General features: G+C 36.1%; 1 protein-coding gene and 1 long non-coding RNA gene across 18 annotated transcripts in view; one reads left to right on the top strand and one right to left on the bottom strand.

Annotated features, from left to right (window-relative positions):
* EYA1 (EYA transcriptional coactivator and phosphatase 1) overlaps positions 1-27,140 on the top strand; it is a 350,662-nt gene that overhangs the window by 16,100 nt on the left and 307,422 nt on the right. Inside the window, exons 3-4 of one of the 17 annotated variants that reach the window (NM_001370335.1) lie at positions 734-913; positions 2,058-2,166. The exons of 15 other annotated variants lie outside the window; for them this stretch is intronic. Coding sequence is in view for 1 of the 2 variants with exons in the window: in XM_047421520.1 (XP_047277476.1) it covers positions 4,426-4,446 (21 nt within the window). In the remaining variant the exon portion in view is untranslated. Of the gene's footprint in view, positions 1-733; positions 914-2,057; positions 2,167-4,093; positions 4,447-27,140 lie in introns of those variants that run through there. One more of the 17 variants, XM_047421520.1, reaches the window with a different exon arrangement.
* On the bottom strand, positions 209-21,711 carry LOC124901961 (uncharacterized). The gene is made up of 3 exons (XR_007060962.1): positions 21,645-21,711; positions 6,774-6,897; positions 209-336 (listed from the first exon to the last, which is right to left on the bottom strand). It is a non-coding gene; the product is annotated as an uncharacterized LOC124901961 (long non-coding RNA).

Here is a 27,140-nt window from a genome sequence, read left to right as displayed (position 1 = left end):
TTTGATCCTATGTAGACATGACCCTGAGTAGAAACGTTAAGTCAGAAAGTCCACCTTTCTAATTCTGGAAGGTTCTGCTTATGTGTCTCCCACATTTAGGAAGAGTCAGTAACACGTGTGATTTTGTAAGTTCTACCCACTCTTCTCTTCACTTCATGAGGACATCATGGAGAGGAGGAGGTTTGTGGGCTTTCACATCATTTCTGTCATGATCTTGGCCACTCCTCTGTTTGCCTCTGAAGGGTTCCCATCTGGATGAGCACAGTTCCACGCTCTTAGCAGCCATGGCAGTGGAACTGCTGATACCTTAGTGGTTGTCCTGATCCAAGGTAAACACTGGAAACACAAGCATCAAACAGCAGAGTTATAACCGCTTCTTTCAGTTTCTTTAGTTTACTAGGATTTCTAGAAAGAAATCATGTCAAGATAAAAAAAAAAGCACATACTCACTTTTTTAAAAGTGAATTTTAAAAATATATCATTCTATTTTCCTTATGAAGTTGTGAGGGCTGCAGTTAAAAACCCACCACTCGATAACCCAAAACTTGTGTCTGAATCAAATAGAGAGAGCCTAGTTTTTTGGAAACTACATTTTAGACTTGAAGTCGTAAGACCTGGTTTTATCTTTTACTAGCTGTATGACCTGGGGCAGGTTTATAAGCATCAACCTCTTCTGCTATAAAACAGATATGATAATATTTGCCTTCTCTGATTTAAAATCACAATTTTGTAGGTCAAGTGGGATCATGGATTCAAATGTTCTTTGAAAATGAAAAGTGCAACATAACTCTAATTCACTTTTTATTGGAAACATCTCCAGAAAAATGAATAAACGACCATGAATAAAAAATTATCTGGCCACCTGCAAGTCTACAATACAATTTTAAAAATGTGACCATCACACCTGCATCAGGTATTATAAACACTAACCCTGCATATGTTTGATCATGATGTTGTCAGCTCATGCATTGGGGGGTGGAATTAGGTCTCCTAAGACTCTAAAAGGAGCATTTTGTTATAAATGGTAGATACTTAACTTACTTTTCTTTCAAAAAATTTAGATGATGATATTCTAGATCTTTGTGGACTAATTTTACTTTAGGGCTCCATTGTACTCTCATAACTGTACCTCTTGTGTCTCCCTTTAAGTTATGATAAATTTGAAGTGCTAACAGCAGCTTTTGCTGAGATGCTGGGTTTTGCAAGAAAACTATTAAATAAAACATGTATGTACGTTATTCCTGTACTTGGAGATGCTAGAAATAAAAGGTGACTTTTAACCAAACTGGAAAAATTAATTATTTATTTTTTAATAGAAAGAAACCCACTCTTTAGCAGAAGTTACTAAAAGTAGTTATACAAGTATAATACACATGTAGAAGTGAACTGGGAAATTTTATACTAAATCAGGGTTGCATTTATTCAGCTTCACCCCAAGTGAGATATTTTATGTAAGTGAAACTTTTAGATAACTTAAATATAAAACCATGGAATCCAGAGATTTACAATTTCATTTTTTAAAGCCGAGCATCTTTATTAGAAGCCTGCATTCTTTTCTTAGGACTTCTGTAACAAAGTACCACAAAGTGGGTGGCTTAAAACAACAGAAATTCATTGTTGCACAGTTCTAGAGGCTAGAAGTCCAAATTCAACATGTTAGCAGGGCCATGCTCCCTCTGGAACCTGGAGGGGAATCCTTCCTTAGCTTCTGGGAGTGCACCGGCCATCCTTGGCTTTCTGTGACTTGTAGCTGCAGCACTTCAATCTCTGCCTATATTGTCACATGGCCTTTGTCCCTCTTACATCTGTGCCCCTCCTTCTCTTCTTATAAAGACACCAGTGATATTAGATTAGGGCCTATCTTAATGACCTCATCTTAATTTGATTACTTCTTGTAAAGACCCTATTTCCAAATAAAGTCACAGTCACAGATACTGGGGATTAGGATTTCTACTTATTGTTTCTGGAGAGATACAATTCAACCCATAACAAAAACTAATAAGAGTGTGAGGCCTAAACCCTTATCTTTTTGTCTACCTATCCCCCTCCTGTCTCAGCACCTTGAATAACTCTAGTTTATGTGGTTGCAAGTAATGGAACTTACCATGAGCTGGCATAAGAAAACAAAAGGAAAGTCTTAAGAAAGAGGGCATCTGGGGAATTCAGGTAATTTTTTTTTCTTTTTTCTGCACATTTTATTCAGTCCTCTTTTTGTTTATAGACTGGCTTTCTCTGTTCCCCTTGCACAGTGCTGGCTAACCCACCATGGTTTATACATTACTGGGTCATCCACCATGTAGGAAGAAAACCTCTGACCGGTCCTGGATGCATCATGATCCTGTGCCTGATAGAGCAGGTCGCTGCAGCAGAAACACCACAGTTCCCAGAGGAGAGGCTGGGCTGACCACCCAATAGTTGGCTATTGGGATGGACCTTCAAAAACTCCCATTTTGAGATCATTGAAGCACCAGTTTGAAAGCACATATCTGATCCTACCTCATCATTTTGCAGATGGGGAGATTTAACCCTTGATATGCCATCACCTATAATCTATTTGATGGAAGTATCTAATAATGAATATATAATTATTTTCCAATACTTAAGGCTTTTTAACAACTATCAGTTAAATGCTGTATCTCTAGTGTACTAATTTTTCATCTTTCTGTTTATCTATCTGATAGCAACAATGATTTGCATTTTTGGCATGAAGCAGTAAGGCCTAGAGTTGGGGTAGTCTTTTCGGATGTGATGGGTACTCAGCAAATAGATAATAACTTGAACTTGGGAAGGCAATTAGGCATAGTGAAGAGAACCTTGACTTGGATTCAGAATTTCTGGTTCTGAGTCACAGTTTATTCTAAGAATTATTTCAATGAATAACTTCATGAAATTAATTTCAATTTCTACGCCTCAATTTTGTTTTTTACCAGTAGAGATAACAGACCTATATTGCTGGGTCCCCAGGATGAAGAAATAAAGATACCATATGCCAAAGCACTTTGTAAACTGTAAAGCAGTATATACAGCCACTAGCGTCAAGGCCAGTGAAACATCTTTTTGGAAAGGGCAGGACATTTAAAGTCAGACACATCTGCTTGAGCCTTAGCTCTGTACTTGGGCAAGCTGTTTTCGCCTTTCCAAGCCTCAGTTCTTTCTCATTTGTAAATTAGGCATAATAATACCTTTCTTGCATGATTGTGTGATTAAAAATAACATATGAAAGACGTACCGTGAATGAGAGCGCAGATTCAGGACCTCAACTTCTTGGATTCAAATTTGAGCTGGGATGGCCTCACTAGTCGTTATTTAATTAAAATGTATTTGACTGGGGGAATGAGGTACTATCTGTTAATTCTGATGTAATGGACAGACATTCACAGGGTTAAGATGAGGTTGTGACTTGGAACATCAGACCATGCTGGAAGGAATTAGGCAAAATTTTTCATTTGAACAGGCAAGGCTGGCTTGGGCACAGTAAAGGAGCCCAGGATAGAATGTGATCTGAGAGTTTCAAAAAGACTGGACGTCAAAGTTCACATTGGGCACCAGGTTGTATTAGCAGTTGGGTATTTTCAGTAAAAAATAAAACCTTGACAGGAAAATTACTCCAGAGCCAGGACAGTGACATGTTTATATTTCCAGGGCCAAACACAATGTCAAGCCCTCTACCTGCACTCAGTAAATGTTTGTTTATCTGAGCTGGCCAATATCTTGTGTTCTGGTGTAGCTCACTTGGTCCATATGCACCAAACAGATGGAGTGTGACAAAGATGAAAATTGCTTGTGGCTGATGCTGGAAAGAAAGGAAAGAGGGGCCCTAACCATTGAGACTCATTGCCCCTGGCTGCCTCTGATCTGGCACTCTTAACATGCAGGAGTGTGAGAGCTTAAAGAACTATGAACTTGTGTCAGTGAGCAGTTAGCAATTGGGGCATGTGGATCTCTCTTTCTGAATAAAAGCCACAGACTTTAGGACTTTGTTTTTTTATGTGTGAGGGGTGGGGGCGAGGGCTAGGGAGGGTGGTTTAAATACTTAAAGAAATCTGGTAATCACCAGAAATGTGAGCTACAATAAGAAAGCCATTTTGGTATAGCAATAATACAATTAATTTATTCTATAAAGGACCAGATAGGAAATATTATAGGCTTCCAGGGCCAGAAAATCTCTTATCACATGCCTATAACTCTGCAGACATGGCATGAAAGTTGCCATAGACATATGGAACAGAGTCCCAGGATAATGTTAATGCATGTAGATAAAATGAGGATTCATGCATTGTTCTGTTGTTACCTCAGTGAGCCCTTCCTATCTGCAGATGGGATGCAGAACTGGTGAATAAAGAGGACCAACTTAAGGGGCTGGGGAATCCAAGGATTTTACTATCTGTGAGAGTTTTGGAACCAGTCTTCCACAGATACCCAGGGATGACTGCCCCTGCACGCAAGGTGGGTCTACAGTTGTGCGCTCTCTCCTTTCAAGATTTCTCATTTTGTTCCTATCAGGCTAGCCCTGACATCTTGAATGTGACTGTTTACTCTCTCTCTGGGCCTCATTTTCTTTATTTGTAAAATGAAGAATTTGGGAGAAGATCTCTTCTAATTTTAACACAGTATGATTCGACTGGTGTCCTTACTGTATAGGATAACTGAAGTTAATAAAGTCTTTGCATCACAAAATAAATGTGTGGTGGTCACCAAGGGATGGGCAGGAAGACCAATCATCAAAGTCAAGCATCCGTGTGAACTCAAGTACTCAGTTTGGTGATCTAGTTCCATAGTTCCAGGATTGCATTTGAACCCTAGTGTGATACATTTCTATATTTCTAAATCCTGCTTCTCTTTTTTTCCCAAATCTTCTTCATCCCTCAGCCAATGAATCTTGTTGTAGAACCCAGAGTATATCTTTATGTTGGCTCTAATGTGATAATGATTCTTTGATGTCCACATTTCTGTGCATCCATAATTTTATTTATGTATAGTATCATATACAATTTTCCTATGATTAATTTTAAAACATGCCTAGAATAGTGATAAAGAAATACTTCTACATTTTGTATCCCATTCCCAGGATGTGTTTGTGGTGATTTTAAAATATGTTCACAAATTCTTTGATACTCCTCCCTTTAAGAGATGGAGCCTTGTAAGGGGGTCCCTTTGGATGAACCCTCTCCTTGAGTGTAGTCTGGACTTAGTGACTCAATTCTAATAGGGAGAAAAAAACAGCAGAAGTGACAGTGGCCACTGTGGACACTAGGTCACAAAGGCCCGTATGGCTTTCTCCCTGCTCTCTGTTGGATCACTCACTCTGGAGGAAGCCAGCTGCTATGTTGCAAGGGCACTCAGGCATCCCTGTGGAGGGGCACATGTGGCCAGGGACTGAAGCCTTCCACAACAACCATGGGAGTGAGCCATCTTACAAGCAGATCATGCAGCCCCAGTTAAGCCTTCAGATGACTGCAGCCCCAGCAGATAGCCAAGATATGTTCTCATGAGACCCTGAGCTAGTACCACCCAGCTAAACTGCTCCCAGATTTCTGCCCCTCAAAATTTGTGTGAGATAATAAATCTGTTACACCATGATAGATCACTAATACAGGGATCCTATCAACCTATTTTTCCATTAAAATTGATAATCAGTATTTTTGAAGAGAAGTGAAGCTTGATCATGAATATAATTAATTATATTAAGTAGCATATATACTATGTATAACTAATTATATAAATATGTGTAATTATATATGTAACATATATACATATTAATATATATATGTAATATACATTAATATGACTCTTCTTTCTCCTGTTTTATGCAGAATCTATCACTGGGTATTTTTGTAGACTGGATACATTCAGAGGTCAATTTATTTATCTTTATCTGCTCCTCTGAAACAGAATCTTAATTCTTCACACAATAAGTGCTTTGAACTGCTAATTAGCATATATTTTATTCTAGCTTATATTGTTCACCCAAACTTAAAAGGCTATTTGCCTTCTAGGCCATGAGCTGTTTGAGGGTAGAGAATATGCAAAAGAAACAACCACACTCCCTCTGTCACTCAGTCCTTTCGCTATTTTGCACATGATGTGCAAAATGTTTTGGTTGAATGAGTGAATAAGTACAATTGCCTGGAGCCAAGGTTTTGTAAACAGAAAAAGATCTTCAGGCCTGCTAGTGTGGCAGCTTTAGCCCCCACTTGTCTCCAGGGAATCAAGCACCTTTGGAAACAGGCCAGGATCAAGCTCAGAGGTTTTTTTGCTCTGCCAGGTTTCATGAAGGTAACAGGTAACCTAAAAACAAACACCACGGCTATTAAACATCATTAACTGGAACTCTATTAATTGAAAATTTTTGATAATTTGAGGGTGAGGTTAATTTTTTAAATGTTCCTTTACAAAAATTGGATTATAAAGAAATTAATAATATAGATTAATTTAGCTTATGTACATGAATACATGAAATTAGGTGGGCAAAATATGTTAACAATCACATACCAAAAATTTCATGTCCTTTGTGCAAATAAATTCTATTCATTGAAAAATTTTTCTAAGGTACTCCACTAGATTCAATTAGATCAATTAATGTTTATATTTCAAAGGAATTCATGAAATTTCCTTAAGTGGTCTCCCAAATTCAAACGACATAAATTAGACTCACATTCTCATATATTTTTTTAAATTTTGATTTCATGCAACTCTGTGACTTTGTACTCCCATCTTGTATCAATAAAACAGTAACTGAACTTGCATTCTTACCACGTTAATTCAGTGCATACCTGTGAGGGTAGAGGAGGGAGAGTGGGTTTGTCAGGCGATGGAACGCTTGTGTTGGAGCCCTGACTCAGCTGCTGCCCAAGTGTGTGCAAATCTCTGATCATCTCTGAGCCCCCATCTTCATCTCTAAAATGAGGATAGTATTTCAATACTGGGTATCTCAGAATGATCATGAGGATCAAAAGACAATCATGATGGCTTTAGTAAGCAATGTAGTAACATACAAACTCTACTGTTTATCAAGAGCATATCTCAAAAGGCAACAAATGTGTGTGTTTTCTTCCAGGCAGTATTCCGAAACAAAAACAATACTTCCTGTGTCCTCCTTAACAGTTATTCCTTCTTTCTATAAGTAAAAAGGGAAAAGAAACCTTTTTTAAATTACTGATTTTATTTAATTGGTTTTTTTCATTTTGAAATATGCTGTCCATAGTCCAAAGGGATGCCAGAGATCATTGTATTGGGCCATACAAATATTGCAATGGGTGACATTCACTCGCCCATTCTTGTTATTGCTTAATTCAGGTATAAACTAAAATTCCATTCAGGGATTCCAGAATTCATGGTAATTTATTCTGATGTTTAGAAATACTCAGATTTTTTATTATATCAAAAACATTTGGCAAAGTATATAGTATGTGATGATTTCTTTCTTTAATGAGGCTGTTGTATTTCTATCAAAGTATAGCTATCACAGGGATGTTTTTCAAGAATAAAATTTTATGCTTTGCATATTCAGGTATTAACTTTAATACTAGTCATATTTTACAAGCCTAAAAATGAATACTGGGTTTGGGATTGATTATTTAATATAACATTTCTAATTTCTATTTAAAAAATTAGCTTTTTCTGTCATAAGGAAAAATGACCTAGTACACGTTTTACTTTATTCATTCTCAGTGCTCACACTGGTGATTTTTAGTGATGTGTTCATCTAAGTTTCTGTGAAACATTAACACAATACCATGATTACCTAGCCTCATCTGGTAAATTGGGAGGGTTAACTTTAAAAATGAGTTCAAAAATATTTTGTGTGTGAAATTATGTATCTGAAAAATGTTTCTATTTGGTTAGTATGCCTGCATTGACCACTTGTGTTCTCAAAATAGGAAGCTGTTGGTGATTAAATGGAACTCAAATAACTTATAAATTTCATTTATAAAGTTGGCTTTTATTAAAATTCATTTGTTAAAAAGTTTACATTACACATTAGAATTAGCTGTTTGCTCAGCTTCCAAATTACTTGGGGAAAGAAGTGTACTCACTATTTAGTGGGGACTAACAAAATCAGATCTGTATTTTAACTTCATCAATTTCATTTTATTTTATCTAGCCTTAAAAAAATGATTATCTTTCTGTTTGCCCTAGGATAATTTTCTAAAATATGGTATCTCAAAATTGATATACATGTTTCTTACTCGTTTGGAATTTAAACTATGAGCCAGGCTGCCATCTTAAAACAAAATGGTAGCCAATAAAAATTTTCAAATGAACATATGATCTATTTATGACATTGAATGGGGACTATAATTCACAGAACCATTAGTAATGGCAGCAAGAGAAATAACAGGGCTAATTCACACAAGTGTGCAATGAGATTCTATGGTGAACTTCTCATTACTTTGAGCATTAGAGTCCTTTGAAAGTTACATTAACTTTTTAGGACAAAGGTGATTGATTTGCTGTAACTGTAACTGAGGTTAGTGGCTTTCACCTTCACTGCCAATAAGAGCTGAATAGATTTTTGGCCGGGCGCGGTAGGTCACGCCTGTAATCCCAGCACTTTGGGAGGCCGAGGCGGGTGGATCACGAGGTCAGGAGATGGAGACCATCCTGGCTAACACAGTGAAACCCCGTCTCTACTAAGCATACAAAAAATTAGCCAGGCGTGGTGGCGGGTGCCTGTAGTCCCAGCTACCCGGGAGGCTGAGGCAGGAGAATGGCGTGAACCTGGGAGGCGGAGCTTGCAGTGAGCCGAGATCGCGCCACTGCATTCCAGCCTGGATGACAAAGCGAGACTCCGTCTCAAAAAAAAAAAAAAAAAGAAAAAGAAAAAAGAAAAGAAAAAGAGCTGAATAGATTTTTATATTACTTTGGAAGACCAGGCCCGAAATTCTTGTAATGTTCTCACCCACCTTAAAACATGAGAAAAGATAGTAAATTCTAAAGGCACTTGTAAAGGGAGAAAAACAATTTTATAATCCTATAATGAAAAGTTTTAACATAAGTGTATTTTGCTACAAAATGAAAATATAATAGAATTGCATATTAACTTGTTCCAAGAGTCCTTTCAAGTTGTTGCCAAAACGCTTGAGGTCAGGTGCAGTGGCCCACGCCTGTAATCCTAGCCATTTGGGAAGCTAAGGTGGGAGGATTGCTTGAACCTAGAAGCTCAGGGCCAGCCTGGGCAACATAGTGAGACCACTCTCTACAAAAAAATAAAAACATTAGCCAGGTGTGGTGGCATGGGCCTGGGGTCTCAACTAGTTGGGAGGCAGGAGCACTTGAGCCCTGGAGGTCAAGGCTGCAGTAAGCTGTGATCACACCACTGCACTCCAGCCTGGGTGACAGAGAGATCCTGTCTCAAAAAAAAAAAAAAAAAAAGTTTGTATTGATAGCAGAATTTTCCATACATCATATATTTTTAAGTCATTAAACCACTAACAGTCCTTAAGCACTACAAGTTACAAAAAGAGATTAAATCAGCTGATTTTCTTTGGAGATATTAGTTCTATTTCTTTGGAGATGTCCAGTGCCTATTACTACAGAAAATAAAGAACATGTATTAGGCACTTACTGTGTAGCAGAGACCATTCTAAGCACTTTACATATACAGCTTTAGCTCATTACTGCTTGGTGATAATCTATTGGAGACTCCTGCATAGAAAATAATGTGGAACTGGATTACTTCTAAAATCCTTTCCACTGCTGAGATTTAGTGAATTCATGATTTATTACCTAGTGCTTAATGAAAGAGAGTAAGTGGGGCTATAAGGATCAAGGTGGTTTTTCCATATTCAAGGAGGCAAAATGCATAATGCTCTCGGCTGTTCCTTTGGGTTTAGCATATAATTTTAATGAAACCTTGCTATATTTTTCCAGAAAGTTTCACATAAAGCACATACAGATTATAAATACTTTTGAAATTTCCATGCTAGTTTTCAAGCCCTCTATGAGCCCCATGATGTAGTAAAGTCCCTTAATTCTTCTTAATATTTAGCAAAATGACATATGATCCATGATTAAGCAATAAGCTTTATAAGCTTCAGTTTGTCATAAATTAACTCAAGGAACTTATCCTGTTTCTTTTCTCTTCTCTTTCTTGTATTATCTTTCTAATAGAAGCTCAGATTGATAGTTAAAAATCTGAACTTAAAATGGGCTATCTAACTGATTACTTAGTGCCTACGTAATAAAAACCTTTGAAAACGTGCAGCCTTGAGAGAAAAGTATAACAGAGTCATGCTTGTGAAATGCTTGGAAACCATTGACTTAAGGTTTATAAAGCAATTCACTTAACATTTTTTTGCATTTGGGGGAAAAAAGAAGTATGTTTAGATTTTGATGGTTTAAAAATATATGTTAAGAGACCCTGTTTCACCATTTAAAGTTTTACAGAAGAGAATTCTACAGTGATTTCTCTGGTTAATAGATGCATGCATTTCCATGCATTATACTTTTAGAAATTTCTGTAGTGAATCTACAGTTGCATGTTCATTTTGCTTTAAACAGTGTTTTGTTTAACTTCTTTTGTTTCTTTATATATCAAAATATAACAAAATTTGGAACTACATATGGGAAATAATTTATAATTCCCATATGTAGTTCCACATTTTTCAAAACAATTAGACTATGAGTATCTCAGTTAAATTAAAATGAAACTCACAAATATGATGATCTTAGCCTTAATTCCACGTCACTGAAATGTGAGTGGTATTGAGGACAGATTTAAGATATGACTGAAAACATATTCAGCCATTTTTGTAGTTTTGTTCTCAGTATTTGTTGATGCTATTATTATTAATTTACTATATGTATCTACTTCTATTGTTCATTTCCATCTATTATTGGTCATACTGTGTATATTCTCTTTGATTCAATTCTAAGTAATGCTGGCTTAATTTGAATTAGAAAAAAATAAAGATTTTTTTTTTTTAAAAAGAGGTGACCCAAGTGTAGGATTGGAACAATAGTTAACCTATTGTGTCCAGTCTTGTGATAAACATTTTTGTTTTAACTATCAAATTTAATTACCTGTTGAGATTCATGGTACTTTGGGAACCAGAATATATTTGCAGCTAACTACAAAGATAATATAATTGCAATTCCTTATGTAAGTTTTAAAATGACATGTGTTAACTTTTTTTAATTTTTGAGAATACTGCATTTTAGGTTATTTTGCACGCATATATTTTTGAATGTAAAAAAAGTCACAGCTTTAGTCTTTATTTCCGAACTTCATTATCTCAACTGCTTTAAACCCTTAGATAGCATTAGCAAAAGTTGATGAGGAGCTAGATCAGCTCACTCAAGCTGAACTCTGGCCCTGGGGGTGTGAAGGTGGGGAGAGGAAGTGTTCTTCATCTCTTTCTCAGAGGTGTGATTCTGTTTACTTTGGAAAGAAAAGATACAAGTATCTCCTAAAGTGGATTAGACGTGGCAAGACAAGATGATACATTTGCACTATAAACTCTCAAGCAGCTGTGAGAATGCAGTATGTGTGAAATTTCTTACCTTCTTAAAAATCTTGATAGAGTTGTAGTTAAGCTCTTAACAGTCAAAAACAAACTGCCAATGAAGTTTATTTTCTTTTTTGCTGAGTTTTCTGGACCATTGTTCCGCTTGAGGGGCCCTGTTTGTTAGTTTTGGCTCTGGACTTCTCTTCCTTAAGGATAAGCCTCCTAAGGCACTTGCACAGCGCAGTGCTCAGGGACTGCCTAGCAGTTTCTTCACAGGCCCAGCTAAAGCATAATTCAACTGCATGACTTCCTGCCTCAGTGGAGGGGGGGGCCAATGAGGGGGTTTGTATCTGTAATGTAAATACATAGTTGATTGTGGAAAAAACTGGGACATTATTGTTTGTTCTCATAAAAGGTTCCTGCTGGAAGTTTTATTTTAAAGTTGGCTTTTAGCCTTTTCTGCTATGACTTGGATACTGATCTGATTTTCTGCTTTCATGCCCTTTATTAAAAATTTAAAATATTTAATTCAACATTAACTGTGCTTACAAGCCACATAGCAGAATAAAATCACATTACAAACATTGTAGTATTAGATTTTATCACCATTTATTTCTTCTAGCCTGTCCAGGGATTTCTTCATGTTCAGTAGAACTAATTTGCAGTCAGACACTGAGGTCTTCTAGAAGGCCAGCAGGCTCCAGAAATTAATTTATCCAAATAACCGATCCCTTCTAGGCCAACCATAGAGGGACACCAAAATGGCCTAAGAAGGCAGAGCCTCCTTTTGAAGTCTGGAATGTTTTGACTGACTTGAAACAGGCGGCTGGAATGAAAGGATAATTTTCAGTGACCCAGGGGATTTTTTTTTTTTTTTTGCCATTTTCAAATATTAGGTAAAACAAAGAGAAATTGCTTGCTCTAATTTAGAAAGACTTAGTAATCAGGAAGGCAACCAGACTGAGCATAAAGTTCCAAGGTCTATAGCAGAGGCTCATTTACTAAGCCTAGATTGCTGGCAAAATCACAATTATACCCTTAAAAAAACTTAGAGGGGTTAGGTTTTAGTCAACTCTCTATATTTTCATCACTTATACCTGAATTATTTTCTTAATATTTTAAAAAAGAGAACATGAATTGCTTTGATTTATTGCCATCTAAAAAGTTGCTATATTTTAATCTTAATTTTATTAAATGAACAGGAAGTTATAATTTAAAGTAGCTAACTACACTAAATTAGTTTACTAGAAATAGGGTAGATATTTCATGTTTGTCTGTTAAAAATGAATAGATTTTAAGTCTATGAGATCTTTAAAGTAAACTGTCACATGAGCAGAAGCACTGTCTAGGTGTAACAAATGTTTTTTGTCTTCCAACTCAGAAGAGATCAAAGCCATTTTCAAGAGATTCCTTCCTTACATTCTACGTTAATATTCATTGTCATAGGGGAAAAAGTACTTTGTGTTTTTAGTGAAGAAAATAAATTGGCAGTAGAAATTGGTAACCAAACTGTACAGTACATTAAGATATAAATGGCAAATACTGCTTTTTACACATTTCTTGTGACTTGTAGTGCAACTATGTACTACTATAGTATTATTTAGGAAAAAAGGGTTCAATAATACTTGTAATTTAAAAGTTCTGGATATTAGTAGATACTAGCTGATTTTATGAACTTAGGTTTTTTATTTTACAGTTTTATAAAATTATAAAGTAATGTATATACTAACAAGGCCACAAACATGTCAACCCCGTTTCTTGCCATTGTTCATTCTTTTAATTGGTGAAGTATGCAATGAATTAATTTGAACAAAAAGAAATTATAATTTTATTTCTTTTGATTTGTTTTCAGATGTTTGCTTGTTTTTGCATTGGGTTGATTCATACTCTACATTCTCATTGCTGAAGTTGTAAAACTTTATTTCTCTAAGTCTCATCTTTAATTTTTATGCCAGTTTTCTGTTTGATTAGCTGCTTTTGCAAAGGCCGAGTGCATGGTAGATATAAGAAAAACATCTGAAGGCTGAGGCTTTCATGGGAGGTAATGGTCACACTATTCCTAGACATGACAGACAGAAAATAGCATTGTCGCTTCACCTTTACATCGTCTTCAAGTTCTTGTTTTAGCACACTGAGATTCTGATTTTAAAAATGTCAGCTGTCTAATAAGTTGGAGAAATAGACGTTGGAAAAGAAGGAAATTGAGAGGTTTAAGTGATGGTTTACTGGGGTCAGCAATATTAATCACTTTTGGAGGGAAGGTGAGTCAAGATGCCTTTGGCAAGAAGAACTAAGACTCTAAGTAAGTATGTAGTAAAGATTTAAGAAATGTTTGCAGTTGAAAATATTGGTTGACAATTAAGAGATAATGGTTGCTTAGACTGATAAATTTTATAAAGTAGAATATCCTCTATGATTGTACAATGCATTGAGCCATGGGAAGAAATTAAAATTTCTAATTTGTAATTCTATCCTTTTGAAAAAAAATATTTTTGTAGATTTTATTATATGTAATATGTTAGTAAAGCACAATTTGTCTATAAAGTATAGATACGTATGTGCTGAAATTTTTACTGATGAAGAATTTATGATTAAAAAACATTGGGAAACTGCTAGTTTAGACAATAGTTAGCATTTTGTGCTTTATCCTGTATATTTTTCATTAGGAATCAGGGATTGTATATGTTGATCAGGAATTTAAGTAATTAAAATATGAAATTCCATACTTACAATTAATAAATGCATATTGATAATTTAATTTTTGATATATATATCTCCAAATTATTTAGAATATACAGTTATATATATGTATACAGTTATATATATATATATATATAGTATGTTTTCCTATCTTGTGAACAACATACTCAATGGGGCTTGATCATCTTTTATCTTTAAAAAGTAATATTAGTTCTTTGGTTAAAGTCACTGTGAAGCAAATGTATTCACTTTATATATAATAATGAGAAACCTGGGTAAAAGGTAGCTGATCTTTTCTTTGAAACTGTGTTAATGAACCTTATGATAACTATTTTTTCAGCATTCATAGATTTGTCATTTCTTTTGGTTTGAAATTACTATAAATTTGACATCTGGATAAGTTATATGATCTAGTTGCTTGGTAATAGAAGGCTTAGTGAGGGCAGGATGCATTTTTCAAAATATTTTAAAAGATTTTCATGGAAAAGAAGAATTCATCATGATATGTTTAACTGTAAAAGACATAGGATCATAAGTTTAGTTTTGGGCATTTGAATCTGAGCGCTTTTGGAGCAACTCAAATGATGTTTGTAGAGAGTTGAAAATTTGGATATGGGTTTCTGGAGTGGCCTGGCCTGAAAGTATAGATCTGAGATCATCAACAAACAGGTAATATTGAAGCCAATATGTGAGGTGACTTAAGAAGGGGTGTTAAAGGTGAAAAAGAGCAAACAAAAAAAGATTTATGGGGATATTAGAACCAGCAAGAGGAGAAGGGGCCAACTATGAGCACTGAAGAGCAGCTGGAGAAGTAGATGAACCAGAGGGAACAGGACAATTCCAGGTTTCTTTGTAGAATTAAGTTGATTAAGCACTGAAAGTTGTGCAGTGGATAGAACACAAGTAGTTTGAGTTTGACAGTGAAGGGTGGAATCCAGATTACTTGTATTGACAAGTAAAGGAGAAATGAGGTGCTGGAAATACAGAATTGGAATTTAACTACCTTTTCTAGAAGTTTGACTGAGTAGGGAAGGGTTGGCCATAGCTAGGGAGAGACTAAGGACTAAGGGGAGATTTTTAGAGGAGAAGTTGTCCACTCAGGAATGTGGGAAAGCCCAGTATTCATCCTCTAATACTAACCTACCTCTAAGGTGGCTTTGTCTCATATGCACCCTTCTCTTCAGAGAGCACAACATTATAGGCAATGGCCAACACACTAATAAGGCTGTATTTTTGGCCATACTGTGCAAATTTGTATTTGCATATAATAAATAATCATTTATGTGTTACTGGCTGAGGATCATCTTGAACCATCTCTCAGAGTTCCAAAAGCCATATTTTCCTCTTTGGCTGCATATATACTGTGTGACTTCTCTGCCTGGCAAAAGCCACCTTCTATATAGAAGTCAAAGGCCAACCATGTGAATTCACCCTGGTAACTCCAACTAGTTGTCCTCTCTCACCTTCCATCCTTCAAGAGCTCTACTGTGGCCCTTAGTAAGTTGATTTACAAGTAGCCATTTACACATATTTCATCCAATGACTTGTGAATTCTCAGAGGAATACCCTATCCTGTTTCTTAATCACTAGCCTATCACATTGCCTGGTACTCAGTGGCTATTCAATGAAAATTGCTTGAATGAATGAATAAATGAATGAAAGAATAAACAGAGTACATGAGAAAAGACAAACTGTATGTATTGGGAGAGGCACCAAAAAACTGTCTTTGTGACTATAGGTTATTTGTATACATTACAGTCTTCCATGTGTAACTGTCAAAGGCCAACTTGAGCTATAGAGAGGGTAATTATTATGGCAAATTGGGATTATGTTTACATATCTGTTAATCCCTGTTTATTCAAAGTAAGGATATACTTAGTTTATTAATCCCATCCTTTTGAAAAGTATATATTTGTATAGGTTTTATATTTTATGTGATATATCAAAGTAGGGACATACTTTGTCATATTCATCATTACTTGTCAAGTAATAGAAAATAAATAAGAATTTCAAAAGAAAGTTTGAATTGCAAAAGGTCTTGTTGGGATTATTTAGAATATACAGTTATAGTTTTGATAGGGGCTATAATGTTCAACGGACTATTGTTGAAAAGTTTTTGTTTGCTTTTCATTCTAATTTTCTTTACAACAGTTGCTCCCATTGCATAAGAATCTTCAAAGTAAGAGGAATGCAAATTAGTGTAAAAAAAGACTTGGGTTAAGAAATGTTTTACATAGTTTTCTATGTTTCCCATCATTTATTTGAACAATACTAGACTTGGCACTTTTCCGTCATGGCAATACCGTAGTATGAACTTTATCACTAGTAACAATGTGCTACCACATAATTAATTGGCTTTTTTTTTTGATATTGAGATTCAACTTGATTTTGAGCTTGTGGTTAACTGAATGCTTTCACACAGCAGTAACTGAACACTTTATTATACAATAATAAATTAGATTAGTTTCTCTTAGAGTTGGGGTCCAGAAATTGGGAGGCAGAGAACTGGAGAGACTAGAGCATAATTTTGAGATCATATGACTTGGATTCCTATTTGGGCTTTGCCACTGACCAGCTGTGGGAATGCACATCAAGTTACTTATCTGGCCTTCCTCATCTGAAAAATGAGCCAATAGAATTTCATGGGATTGTAAGAAATACATGAGACAGTGCTTGACATATGGTAGCTACTCAACTAACACTGGTCTCTTTCTTTCAAGATGATTTTGTTCTGCTTTTTTTTACCATACACTAAAAATGTGTAACTCATTGTCTTACCTTTTCAACCTTGCCACCAGGAAGGAAGATCTGAGATAGGTTTAGTGCTAATTATTAGGAGTTGTCTTATTCCAGATCTTAATACAAATTTTGCTCTACTGTTTGTCTTCTTTACTAATGTTTTTCAGTTTTCTTAAAAAGACTTAGATATTTCTATAAAAATTGTACATTGAAAATAAAACTTTAAATGATACAATAAACTAAAAACTAAAGCAAAGGAAAGCTACCTCAAATTCTACTAATCAGAAATAACCATTGATAGTTGATATGGTTTGGCCGTGTACCCACCCAAATCGCAACTTGAATTGTATCTCTCAGAATTCCCACGTGTTGTGGGAGGGACCCAGGGGGAGGTAATTGAATCATGGGGGCCCATCTTTCCTGTGCTATTCTTGTGATAGTGAATAAGTCTTACAAGATCTGGTGGGTTTATTGGGGTTTCTGCTTTGGCTTCATCCTCATTTTCTCTTGCCACTGCCATATAAGAAGTGCGTTTCACATCCCGCCATGATTCTGAGGCCTTCCCAGCCATGTGAAACTGTAAATCCAATGAAACCTCTTTTTCTTCCCAGTCTTGAGTATGTCTTTATCAGCAGTGTGAAAACAGACTAATACATAGTATCAGTTGTATATCATTCCAGACTTTTCTTGATGCATATGTACAGATGAAAAATGATTTTATAAAAGTTAGATCATATCATTAATATTTTAATTAAAAATATTTCATTCTATTAGACTTTAAAAGAAAAAACCTGAAGTGAGGTAAAGAATTCCTGAACTACAGGAAACTGTTATATTTACAAGTTATATCAACTTATAAAAGACAATCTCAAGAGCAAAAGATAAATACAAATCTACAAAGTAAGTTATTTTTAACTAAAAATAGAGCTCCCATAGGATCCAGCAATTCCAGTGCTGTGTATATACATAAAATAAGTGAAATCAGCATATTGAAGAGATATCTGCACTCTCATGTTTGTTACAGCCCTGTTCATAATAGCCAGGATTTGGAAGCAACCTAAGAGTATATCAGCAGATAAATGGATAAAGAAAACGTGGTACATATACACAGTGGAGTACTATTCAGCCATAAAAAGGAATGAGAGATCTTGTCATGTTGCAAATGACAGGATCTCACATTCCTTTTCATGCCTGCAGTTCCATGGGTGGAACTGGAGATCATTATGTTAAGTGAAAAAAGCCAGGCAGAGAAAGAAAAGCATCGCATGTTCTCATGTATTTGTGGGATCTAAAAATCAAATTAATTGAACTCAAGGACATCATAGAGTAGAAGGCTGGGAAGCATAGTGAGGAGCTGGAGAGGAGGTGGGAGGGTTAAGGGGTACAGAAAAAATTTAGAAAGAATGAATAAGATCTACTATTTGATAGCACAACAGGGTGACTATAGTCAATGATAACTTAATTGTATATTTTAAAATAACTAAAAGAGGATAACTGAATGCTTTATGACTCAAAGGACAAATGCTTGAGGGGATGGTTGCCCCATTTACCCTGATGTGACTATTTCACTTGGTATGCCTGTATCAAAACACATCATGTACCTAATAAATATTTACATCTACTATATACCTACAAAAATTAAAAATTAAAAAAGAATTATTTTAACTACAATTTCAGACAGACTATTTTTTAAACTACCAATTTTAAACAGACTATTGACTTTTTGATATAAAGCTGAAGAAATTAGTCCACTTCTCAGTTCTTTCCCATCTTACAGTTATTTTTTAAGTTATAATCTTTTGACATTGTCAAGATTTATAATATTCTATTATGAAAATTCTAATAGTTTTATCTTAAGTATATGAAATACTGTACTATTTCAGTGAATTTACATTTTGTCACCATTCTTTTGTTTGTTTTAAAATTTTTAGTGGCGTAATTTTTCAAGAAGAGCTATATGCTCATTGATTTTGTGCAAGTTTGAGAGTGTCTATTACCTTCATACTTAAAAGGCACCTTGGAGGAATATAAGATCATTGAGTCTCACTTTTTTACCCTTGTTTTTAGAGATTACACTAATGCCTTCTGTTATTGCATGCTACTGCGGAGAATGATGAGATCAACTTAATCTTTCCACCTTGTGTATGGTTAGATATTTTTCTCCTTGAATATCCCATGATCTTTCTTTGTTCTTGAGGCTTAGTAGCAACTTACATTTGATAGTTTTCTCTATCACTGCTTTTCTTTTTGTGGGGTATGGTGTTTCTTTTTAAAGCATTTATTTACTAAGAAAACTTTATTAATCTTATGTGAAATTAGTGTTATTTTTTGATTGGAAAGTTTAATTATAATTTCAGAAAAGCTTTTGTTTCATTACATTTTAAAATTTTGGTCTGTTTCATTTACTTGATTGATTCCTTTTAGATGCTCATTATGCTTATGTTAGATTTTTTTTAAAATCTGTCCCTCATATATCTTTTATAAAATTCATTTTCAATTTTTTTCCATTTGTTTTGAATTACTTTCTCCAGCTTGTTTGGTGTCCCTGACCATTTCATTCATATTTATTCTATTTATTGTTACTTCCATTGTAGCTTTTATTTTGTAACTGTTTTAGTTTTTTTCTCCTGTTTCTTCCTAGAGCTTTGCTTGCTCGCTTTTTATCACCCTTTATTGTTTTATTGTCTCATCTGAGCTTTTTTTTTCTTTTAAGAAATCATGTAGTCTTTGATTTTATTTAAAACTTTTTTTTAAAAACTTTTTTCTGAACTTTTCTCCACCTTCTTGCATAACGGCTCTGTGACATATGGAGCTCTGGTCTATTGGACATCTTTCTGAAATTCAGCTTTGAACACCAATTAGCTTAGAAGATATTATCACTCATTCAGGAAGCCACTCTGAAAAATTATGGAGAAGCTAGTGATTACTTCTGATAAATTGGAGTTGGCATTTTACAAAATGTACAATCTCTTTCATTTAGTAGGAATGCTTAGAATTTGTGCAGCACTTTTCAAATTGGGATATCATTTGATCATGACATATACATATCATTTGATCATGACATAATGCATATCATTTGATCATGACAACAAAATATGAATAGCCAGGAAATATGGCCTGCTTTTTACTATTGAGGGCACTGGTTCCAAGCATCTTTGTCAAGGTCACCAGGCTAATGAACCAGGTCTGGGACAAGTGGAACCCATACGGAAGCCTGCCTCTGGTTCCTAGTTTGCTGTTTTTTCTCCCCTTCCTGCTTTGCTCCTTGTGTTGGTGTGAAGATGACCTTTAAGATTACTGTATTAATTGCATACATTCTCCAAATTTTTATTCAATCGTGAGGCTTGATTTATTAAATGACAACATAAACAACAGTGACCACATGTAAGCAATAGCATAAGGCGTGGAGCTTACAGGATGTCTAACAGCTTTGTGGATATGCAGGCACCTCTCTTCTCCACGTGCACCCTTTGATTCTAACCATGTTATCTTTGTGTTGTGGCACCATCACTGTGCTCATCCATGCTGTTTACCTGCCTGGAATGCCCTGCTAGTCTTACCTGACCCGTCAGTCATCTTCCTGGAGTTAATTTCTACTCCAACACAAAACTAAACAAAAAACCTCAAATTAAGCATCATCTTTTTTGAGAAGATATTTTGTCCCCAGCCCCAAAAGTTTGCCAGTTTTCTGCACATTTCTATGATAGTCTTGTCTCATTGCCAAGTAACAGCTGATTTCCTTGCTCATCTCTTCCATGAGTTTTAGCTTCCTTTGGATCAGGGACCATGGCTAATTTTGGTTTTTCATTACCCACATCTGGTAACAATGCTGAAATGTAACAGGTACTCAGAAAATATAGACCAAAATGAAGGAATAGATTGACAAATTTGTAAGTTCAGTCTGCACAGGGATGTGTTGGAGGTTTCTCAATGACTTCACATGATCTTATTTTTTTTTAGCACCATTTATTTTGCCTTTATGTATAGGGCAGTTTAAAGAGACTAAGTGAGGAAGGCTTTTTAGGAGACTCTTACAGTAATAGGTGTGATATGAAGATGACTTAAGCTGGGGTCAGAGTAGTTAGAATGGAAGGAAACAGATTGACACAAGAAATATTGCAAAGACCTCAGAGAGGATATGAAGGAGAAAAGACTCCCTCCCTGGCACAATTAAAAAGAAACAAAAAAATAAATATTTCAAAGAAAGAAAGATCTAGCTGAGTGATGGATTGGAAGATGTGTTCACTCACATGAGTCTTCAGCCTTGTAAGCCCTTTCTTTCCTTTTCACATAGTTAAATTTTATCCATCCTTCATGTGAAATTCAAAATCCATCATCAGTCAGTTTTTGCCACAATAGTGCTTCATATGGTTTGGCTCTGTGTCCACACCCAATGTTACCTTGAACTGTAATAACCCCCTATGTGTCAAGGTCAGGACCAGGTGGAGGTAATTGAACCATATGAGTGGTTTCCCTCATGCTATTTCATAATAGTGAGTGAATTCTCACCAGATCTGTTGGTTTTATAAGGGGCTTTCTCCTTCGCTCGGCACTCATTCTCTCTCCTCCCGCCCTGTGGAGAGGTACCTTCTGCCATGATTGTAAGTTTCCTGAGGCCTCTCTGGCCATGGAGAACTGTGAGTCAATTAAGCCTCTTTTCTTTATAAATTACCCAGTCTCAGGTATTTCTTCATAGCAGCATGAGAACGGACTAATACAGTGCCACATAAAAAACTCAAAATCTCAGTGACTTACTGCAACATCTCATGCTCAAGCAACTGCTGGTTGACTATGGTTTGGCTGCTTTAGGGCTGGGTTCAGCTGGACAGCTGTGTTTTCAATCGTGGTGAGCTGGACTTGCTTTGGGGTTTGCTTTGCTTCAGATTTGACCCATGAGTCTCTCATCATTTTGAGTCTAATGAATACATGATAAAGTATGAAAATGAGTACATTTAAAGCCTCTGCTAGTATCATGTTTGCTAAAATTTCATTGGCCAAAGTAAGTCACATGATCAAGCCCAACTTTAATAAAATACTACTATATTTTATTATATATTAAAATAATAAATAATATATAGTGTGAGGGTAGGGTACTATATTATTACAGAACAATAATCTAAAAATACCATTACCATCTATGATTCCTTCAGCCAGAAGCATTAAATTTTGCTTCTGAATTCCCATAGCATTCTGTTTGTGCACAGCGCTTTCTACTATGCACTATTTAAAGTATTGGCTTTTTAAGGCAGGAAATGAATATTTTTTAGAGACAGGACAATATGCTCTCCAGTGGAGCAGATTCAAGTGCATAATAAAAATGCCTATCATTTAAACCTTTTCTAAATATATTCTTAAAATAAAAATGGCATTCTTTATATTTGTGAGCAATTTGTAGACACATCCTTACTGAAGCGTGTAAAAATATTTTCTTTTTATATTTTATTGACTTACATTGGCCGAGAAATGGTTTGTACTTCACAATTTAAGGTACTGGAAGTCAAAATGCATTGAAGTTCACTCAGTAAGGAGCATACATAATCTGGTGCCAAAGAATACATTTTTCTTTGTTTAAAAGATTCCAAATTCCCTTCTAGACAGGTAATTAATATATTTTAGGGATAGCTTACTTCCTACTTAAGCATGCTTTCTAAAGTAGCTTTATGAAGGAGCCAACTGTCTACTTACTTTTCTGTGAAAGTAGTTCCTAAAATAAATAATTTATTGCATGAATTATAAAACGTTAACCTTATGTAAAGCAATAAGGTTGGTTATAAAATACTCGTGAAGTTGTATGATTTAGGATACTTCCACAAAAATAATATATTTGCTTGCTTTAAGAAGCAAAACAAAATAATTATTTATTTATTTATTTATTTTGAGACCGGGTCTCTCTTTGTTGCGCAGGCTGCAGTGCAGTGTCGTGATCTTGGCTCACTGCAGCCTCAACGTCTTGGGCTCAAGGGATTCTCTGGCCTCTACCCTCCACCTCCCCCAGTAACTGGGACCACAGCAGGCACCACCACCCCTGGCTAATTTTTGTATTTTTTGTAAAGACGGGGTTTCTCTGTGCTGTCCAGGCTGGTCTCAAACTTTTGGGCTCAAGCAGTCTGCTCTCCTCGGCCTCCCAAAGTGCTGGGATTACAGTTGTGAGCCACCACACCTGGCACAAACCAAAATATATTTTTATGATAAAAATATAGAATAGTAACATATTTTGGCCTTGTTATTTAGTGCAGTAGAATAAACGTAACAAAATCTCTTTTCTCTGGATGACCCTGGTCTTGGGAAGTTTAGGATGCTATAATAAAATACCATAAATGAGGTGGCTTTAAAAATGGAAATTTGTTTCTCACAGTTCTGGAGGTTAGGAGGTCTGAGAACAAGGTGCCGGCAGATTCTGTGTCTAATGAGAACTCATTATTTTGTTCATGGATGGTGCCTTCAAACTGTGTACTCACAAGGTGGAAATAACAATGAGCAACCTTGGGCCCCTTTTATAAGGCCACTAATCCCATTCAGGAGGGCTCCACCCTCATGACAGAATCATTTCCCAAAGGCAACACCTAATACTCATATTGGTGATTAGGTTTCAACAGGAATTTTGTGGGGACATAAACATTTAGATCATAGCAACCCTACACAGTGTCCTTTCAAAGCACTAGTTTGTAGCTGGGCTTGGTGTTGTGTGCCTGTAATCCCAGCTACTTGGGGGGCTGAGGTGGGAGGATCTCTTGAACCTGGGAGGCAGAGGTTGCAATGAGCTGAGATCGTGCCACTGCACTCCAGCCTGGGCGACAGAAGGAGACTGTCTCAAAAACAACAGCAACAAAACCCCCCAAAACCCCTCTAGTTTGTTCTGGTGAGTTCTGTATACTTACATAGTATGACTGAAGACCTCAGAAAGAGCATGGATAGAAAATTTTTCTGAATAATGCGGAGAAATGGAAACTCAAACGAAGGAGAAAGTGCAGAAGCACAAGGACAAAGGAGGCAGTCACTGCACTTGGGTAGTGAGTGGCATTACTATGTAGAGGGTCCCTTAAGCAGAAGGCACTTTTCCTAGAGCATCACCTTTAAACCCCATCAAGCCATGATTAGATTAACTGACAAAGTTGGCCATAGTGGAGACTCATATGAAGATAATGAATTCATATTTAATCATTTTATTTTTAACTTAAAAGGCATAGGGTATACTTATTTGTCAATGTTTTGAGGTTAGGCCAAGGATTTTCCTTTGAGAATGGACCTGGGTTTGGAATTCAGAATCCTCTTTTCTTACTCCCTAGAATGTCCAACAAATGCATATTCTTATTCCTTTTCTCTACACAAAAGATAGCACACTATACCCACTGGTTTGCATCTTGCTTTTGCGTTTGCTGTATGTTGGAGGTCATTCCATATTAGTGGATAGAAGACTGCTTTCTTCTTTTTATGGTTGTGTAGTATTCTACCGAATGGCTGTGACATTATGATGGACAAGTAAAGCTTCTCCAATCTTTTGCTATTGCAGACAATGCTGTAAGAATAATAACCTCAGAAATATATAATCTTGCATGTGTACAATTACATGTGTGGGATGAATTCCTAGGAGTGAGATTGCTGGATTTCCCCCCGTAGGTGTTGTGTTTACATGTCACCAGCGAAGTGTTAGAGTGCCTGTGTTCTCCACTGCTTTGCCAAGACAGTTTGTTAGAAAATTTTTAAAATTTTGTCAGTATGAGAGGTAAAAAATTATATCTCAATGTGATTTTAATGTGATTTCTCCTATTATAAAAGGAAGTATTCATAGTGGTTAAGAACACAGCCTCTGGAACCCACCACTCAGGGTTAAATTTAGGCTGTAACACTTACCAGCTCTGTGACCTTGGGCAAATGTCTTAACTTTTGGTGTCTCTAATGTCCTGGTGTATATACTGCAGAGAAAAAGAATAACCACCTCATAGGGCTGCTTTAAGAACTATATGTGTTAGTATGTGTAAAGAGCTAGACTAGTGCCTGGCACATAGTACGTTTAGGCTATTGTTATTGTTGTTATTATTAGTGGAGTTGATATAGAGTTTATATGTTTTAAAGTCAGTTATTCCTTTTCTGTTGAATTTCGGTTATTTCCCAGTCTCTTGTCTATTATTTGTTGATTTTTGTATTATGGGTTTTTATGAACTTTTAATATGTTCAGATTAGCCCTTTATATATAATCTAGTATCTTTGCAGTCTGTTGCTTGCCTTTTAATTTTGCTTATGGTATTTCATGTTATGCATGTTTTAGACATTTAGTTGAATTTACCAACCTTTTCTTATTTGTTTTTAGGATTTTTATTCATAGTAAAGCACTTGAAAATTATAAAGCAATTATCCACAGTGTTTTTCTCTAGTACTTTCATGCTTTTATTTTTTACATTTGAATCCTTGATCCACTTGGAAGTTACGCTGGCATTTGTTTACACAAAATACTTAAATTTGCTTTTATCAAAGATCTATCTGAAAGCTCTAGGATTAGTTTTGAAACAACAACAAACCCTTTTTACACTCAGAGTGCATCTTATGCAATATAATTAAATTGCAAAATTACAATAACAAATATAATTGGCACACATGGGTTTAAGAAGAAACACACAAAGTATTTGCCCTATTACAGTCATGGTTAAAGATACACATCATGCATCATAGTCAGGAAAAAAATATTTTGCACACTGAGATGAACAGACAAACAAAACCAGGGTCACCCTGTTTAGCTCAATTTGCAAGTTAAATGGAGCCTTGAGCTGATACTTGTAAAGACTTGCCTCCTTGGCAAACCTTTGAGAGTCAACTTCTTTAATTTTCTAAATACTTTTGCTCTGGATATGCCTTTGACATTTCTCATCATAGTGGGGCAGCTTTGATGCTCTGTGTAGAAGTGAATGAAGGTGCCTCTTCTTTGTTCTCTACATTTTAGTAGAAAATCATTGTATTAGTCCATTTTTATATTGCTATAAAGAAATACCCAAGACTGGGTAATTTATAAAGGAAAGAAGCTTAATTGACTCACAGTTCCACATGGCCGGGAAGACCTCAGGAAACTTACAATCATGGCAGAAGGGGAAGCAGGTACCATCTGCACAAGGCAGCAGGAGAGAGTATGAGTGTGTGAAGAAGGACCTGTCAAACACTTATAAAACCATCAGTTTCATGAGAACTCACTCTCATGAGAACAGTGTTGGGGAAACCACCCCCATTATCTAATCACCTCCCACCAGGTCTCACCCTTGACACATGGGGATTATGAAGATTACGCTTCAAGATGAAATTTGGGTGGGGACATAGACTCAAACCATATCAATCATAGAAATGGGAGTGGGGAAAGGGTAATAAAGCTGACTGTACAAACCAACTCTTCTTTTATGGTTTCTAAGGCACTCAAGGGGCCAATATTTCTGGAATGAGCAGGCCAGGTTCTCCAAGCTGGCTGTGGCAATTGCCACACCCACAAAAAAATTGTTAGATCAAAAGATGAGGTAGTGCAGAGGGTGGCAAACTCTGCTGCTGTAAAAGCATCCCTAACTTTCACAGTCTTTTTGGATATGAGGGGAGAGCAGGCCTTCTCCTATGTGGATGGTCACCCTGAGAGTCCCCTATTCCTGCCACAAGTCGCAAAGGAATGCAAGAAGAAGAGATTTCACAAAAGTGTTTTTGTTGGTGGTGCTACTTCTAAATGCCAGTCCTACTTTTTAATTAAGATGTATTCTACAAGCAACATAAAGAAAAGTGTGGCAGTACTCTCTAGTCATGTCTTGTATTGCTTGAGCCAGCGCTTCTCAAACTTGACTGTTAATAAGAATCGCCTAGTGAACTTGGCCTGGTTCTAGACCTAGTGATTCTGATGTGCTGCCAGGATTGAGAACCACTGCATTCATCTTCATTTCATTTTATATATTTGTGGGAAATGCCATAGTGGAGGATAAAAAATCAAGGTTTCTTCAAGTGAAATTTTGGCTCCACTTGTGGCAGAATTACTTCTGTAATTAAAATGGAGAGGCAGGTAGGCATGGTGGTAATCCCAGCACTCTGGGAGGCCAAGGCGGGCAGATCATTTGAGACCAGGAGTTTGAGACCAGCCTGGCCAACATGGCAAAACCCCATTTCTACTAAAAATACAGATTAGCCAAGTGTGGTGGCGCACACCTGTAGTCCTAGCTACTTGGGAGGCTGAGGCAGGAGAATCACTTGAGCCCGGGAGGCAGAGGTTGTAGTGAGCTGAGCTCATACCACAGC

This window comes from Homo sapiens, chromosome 8, assembly GCF_000001405.40.
Source record: "Homo sapiens chromosome 8, GRCh38.p14 Primary Assembly".
Classification (NCBI taxonomy): domain Eukaryota; kingdom Metazoa; phylum Chordata; class Mammalia; order Primates; family Hominidae; genus Homo; species Homo sapiens.
The sequence above is the reverse complement of the archived record's forward strand: the minus strand, read 5'-3'. Positions and strand labels throughout refer to the sequence as shown.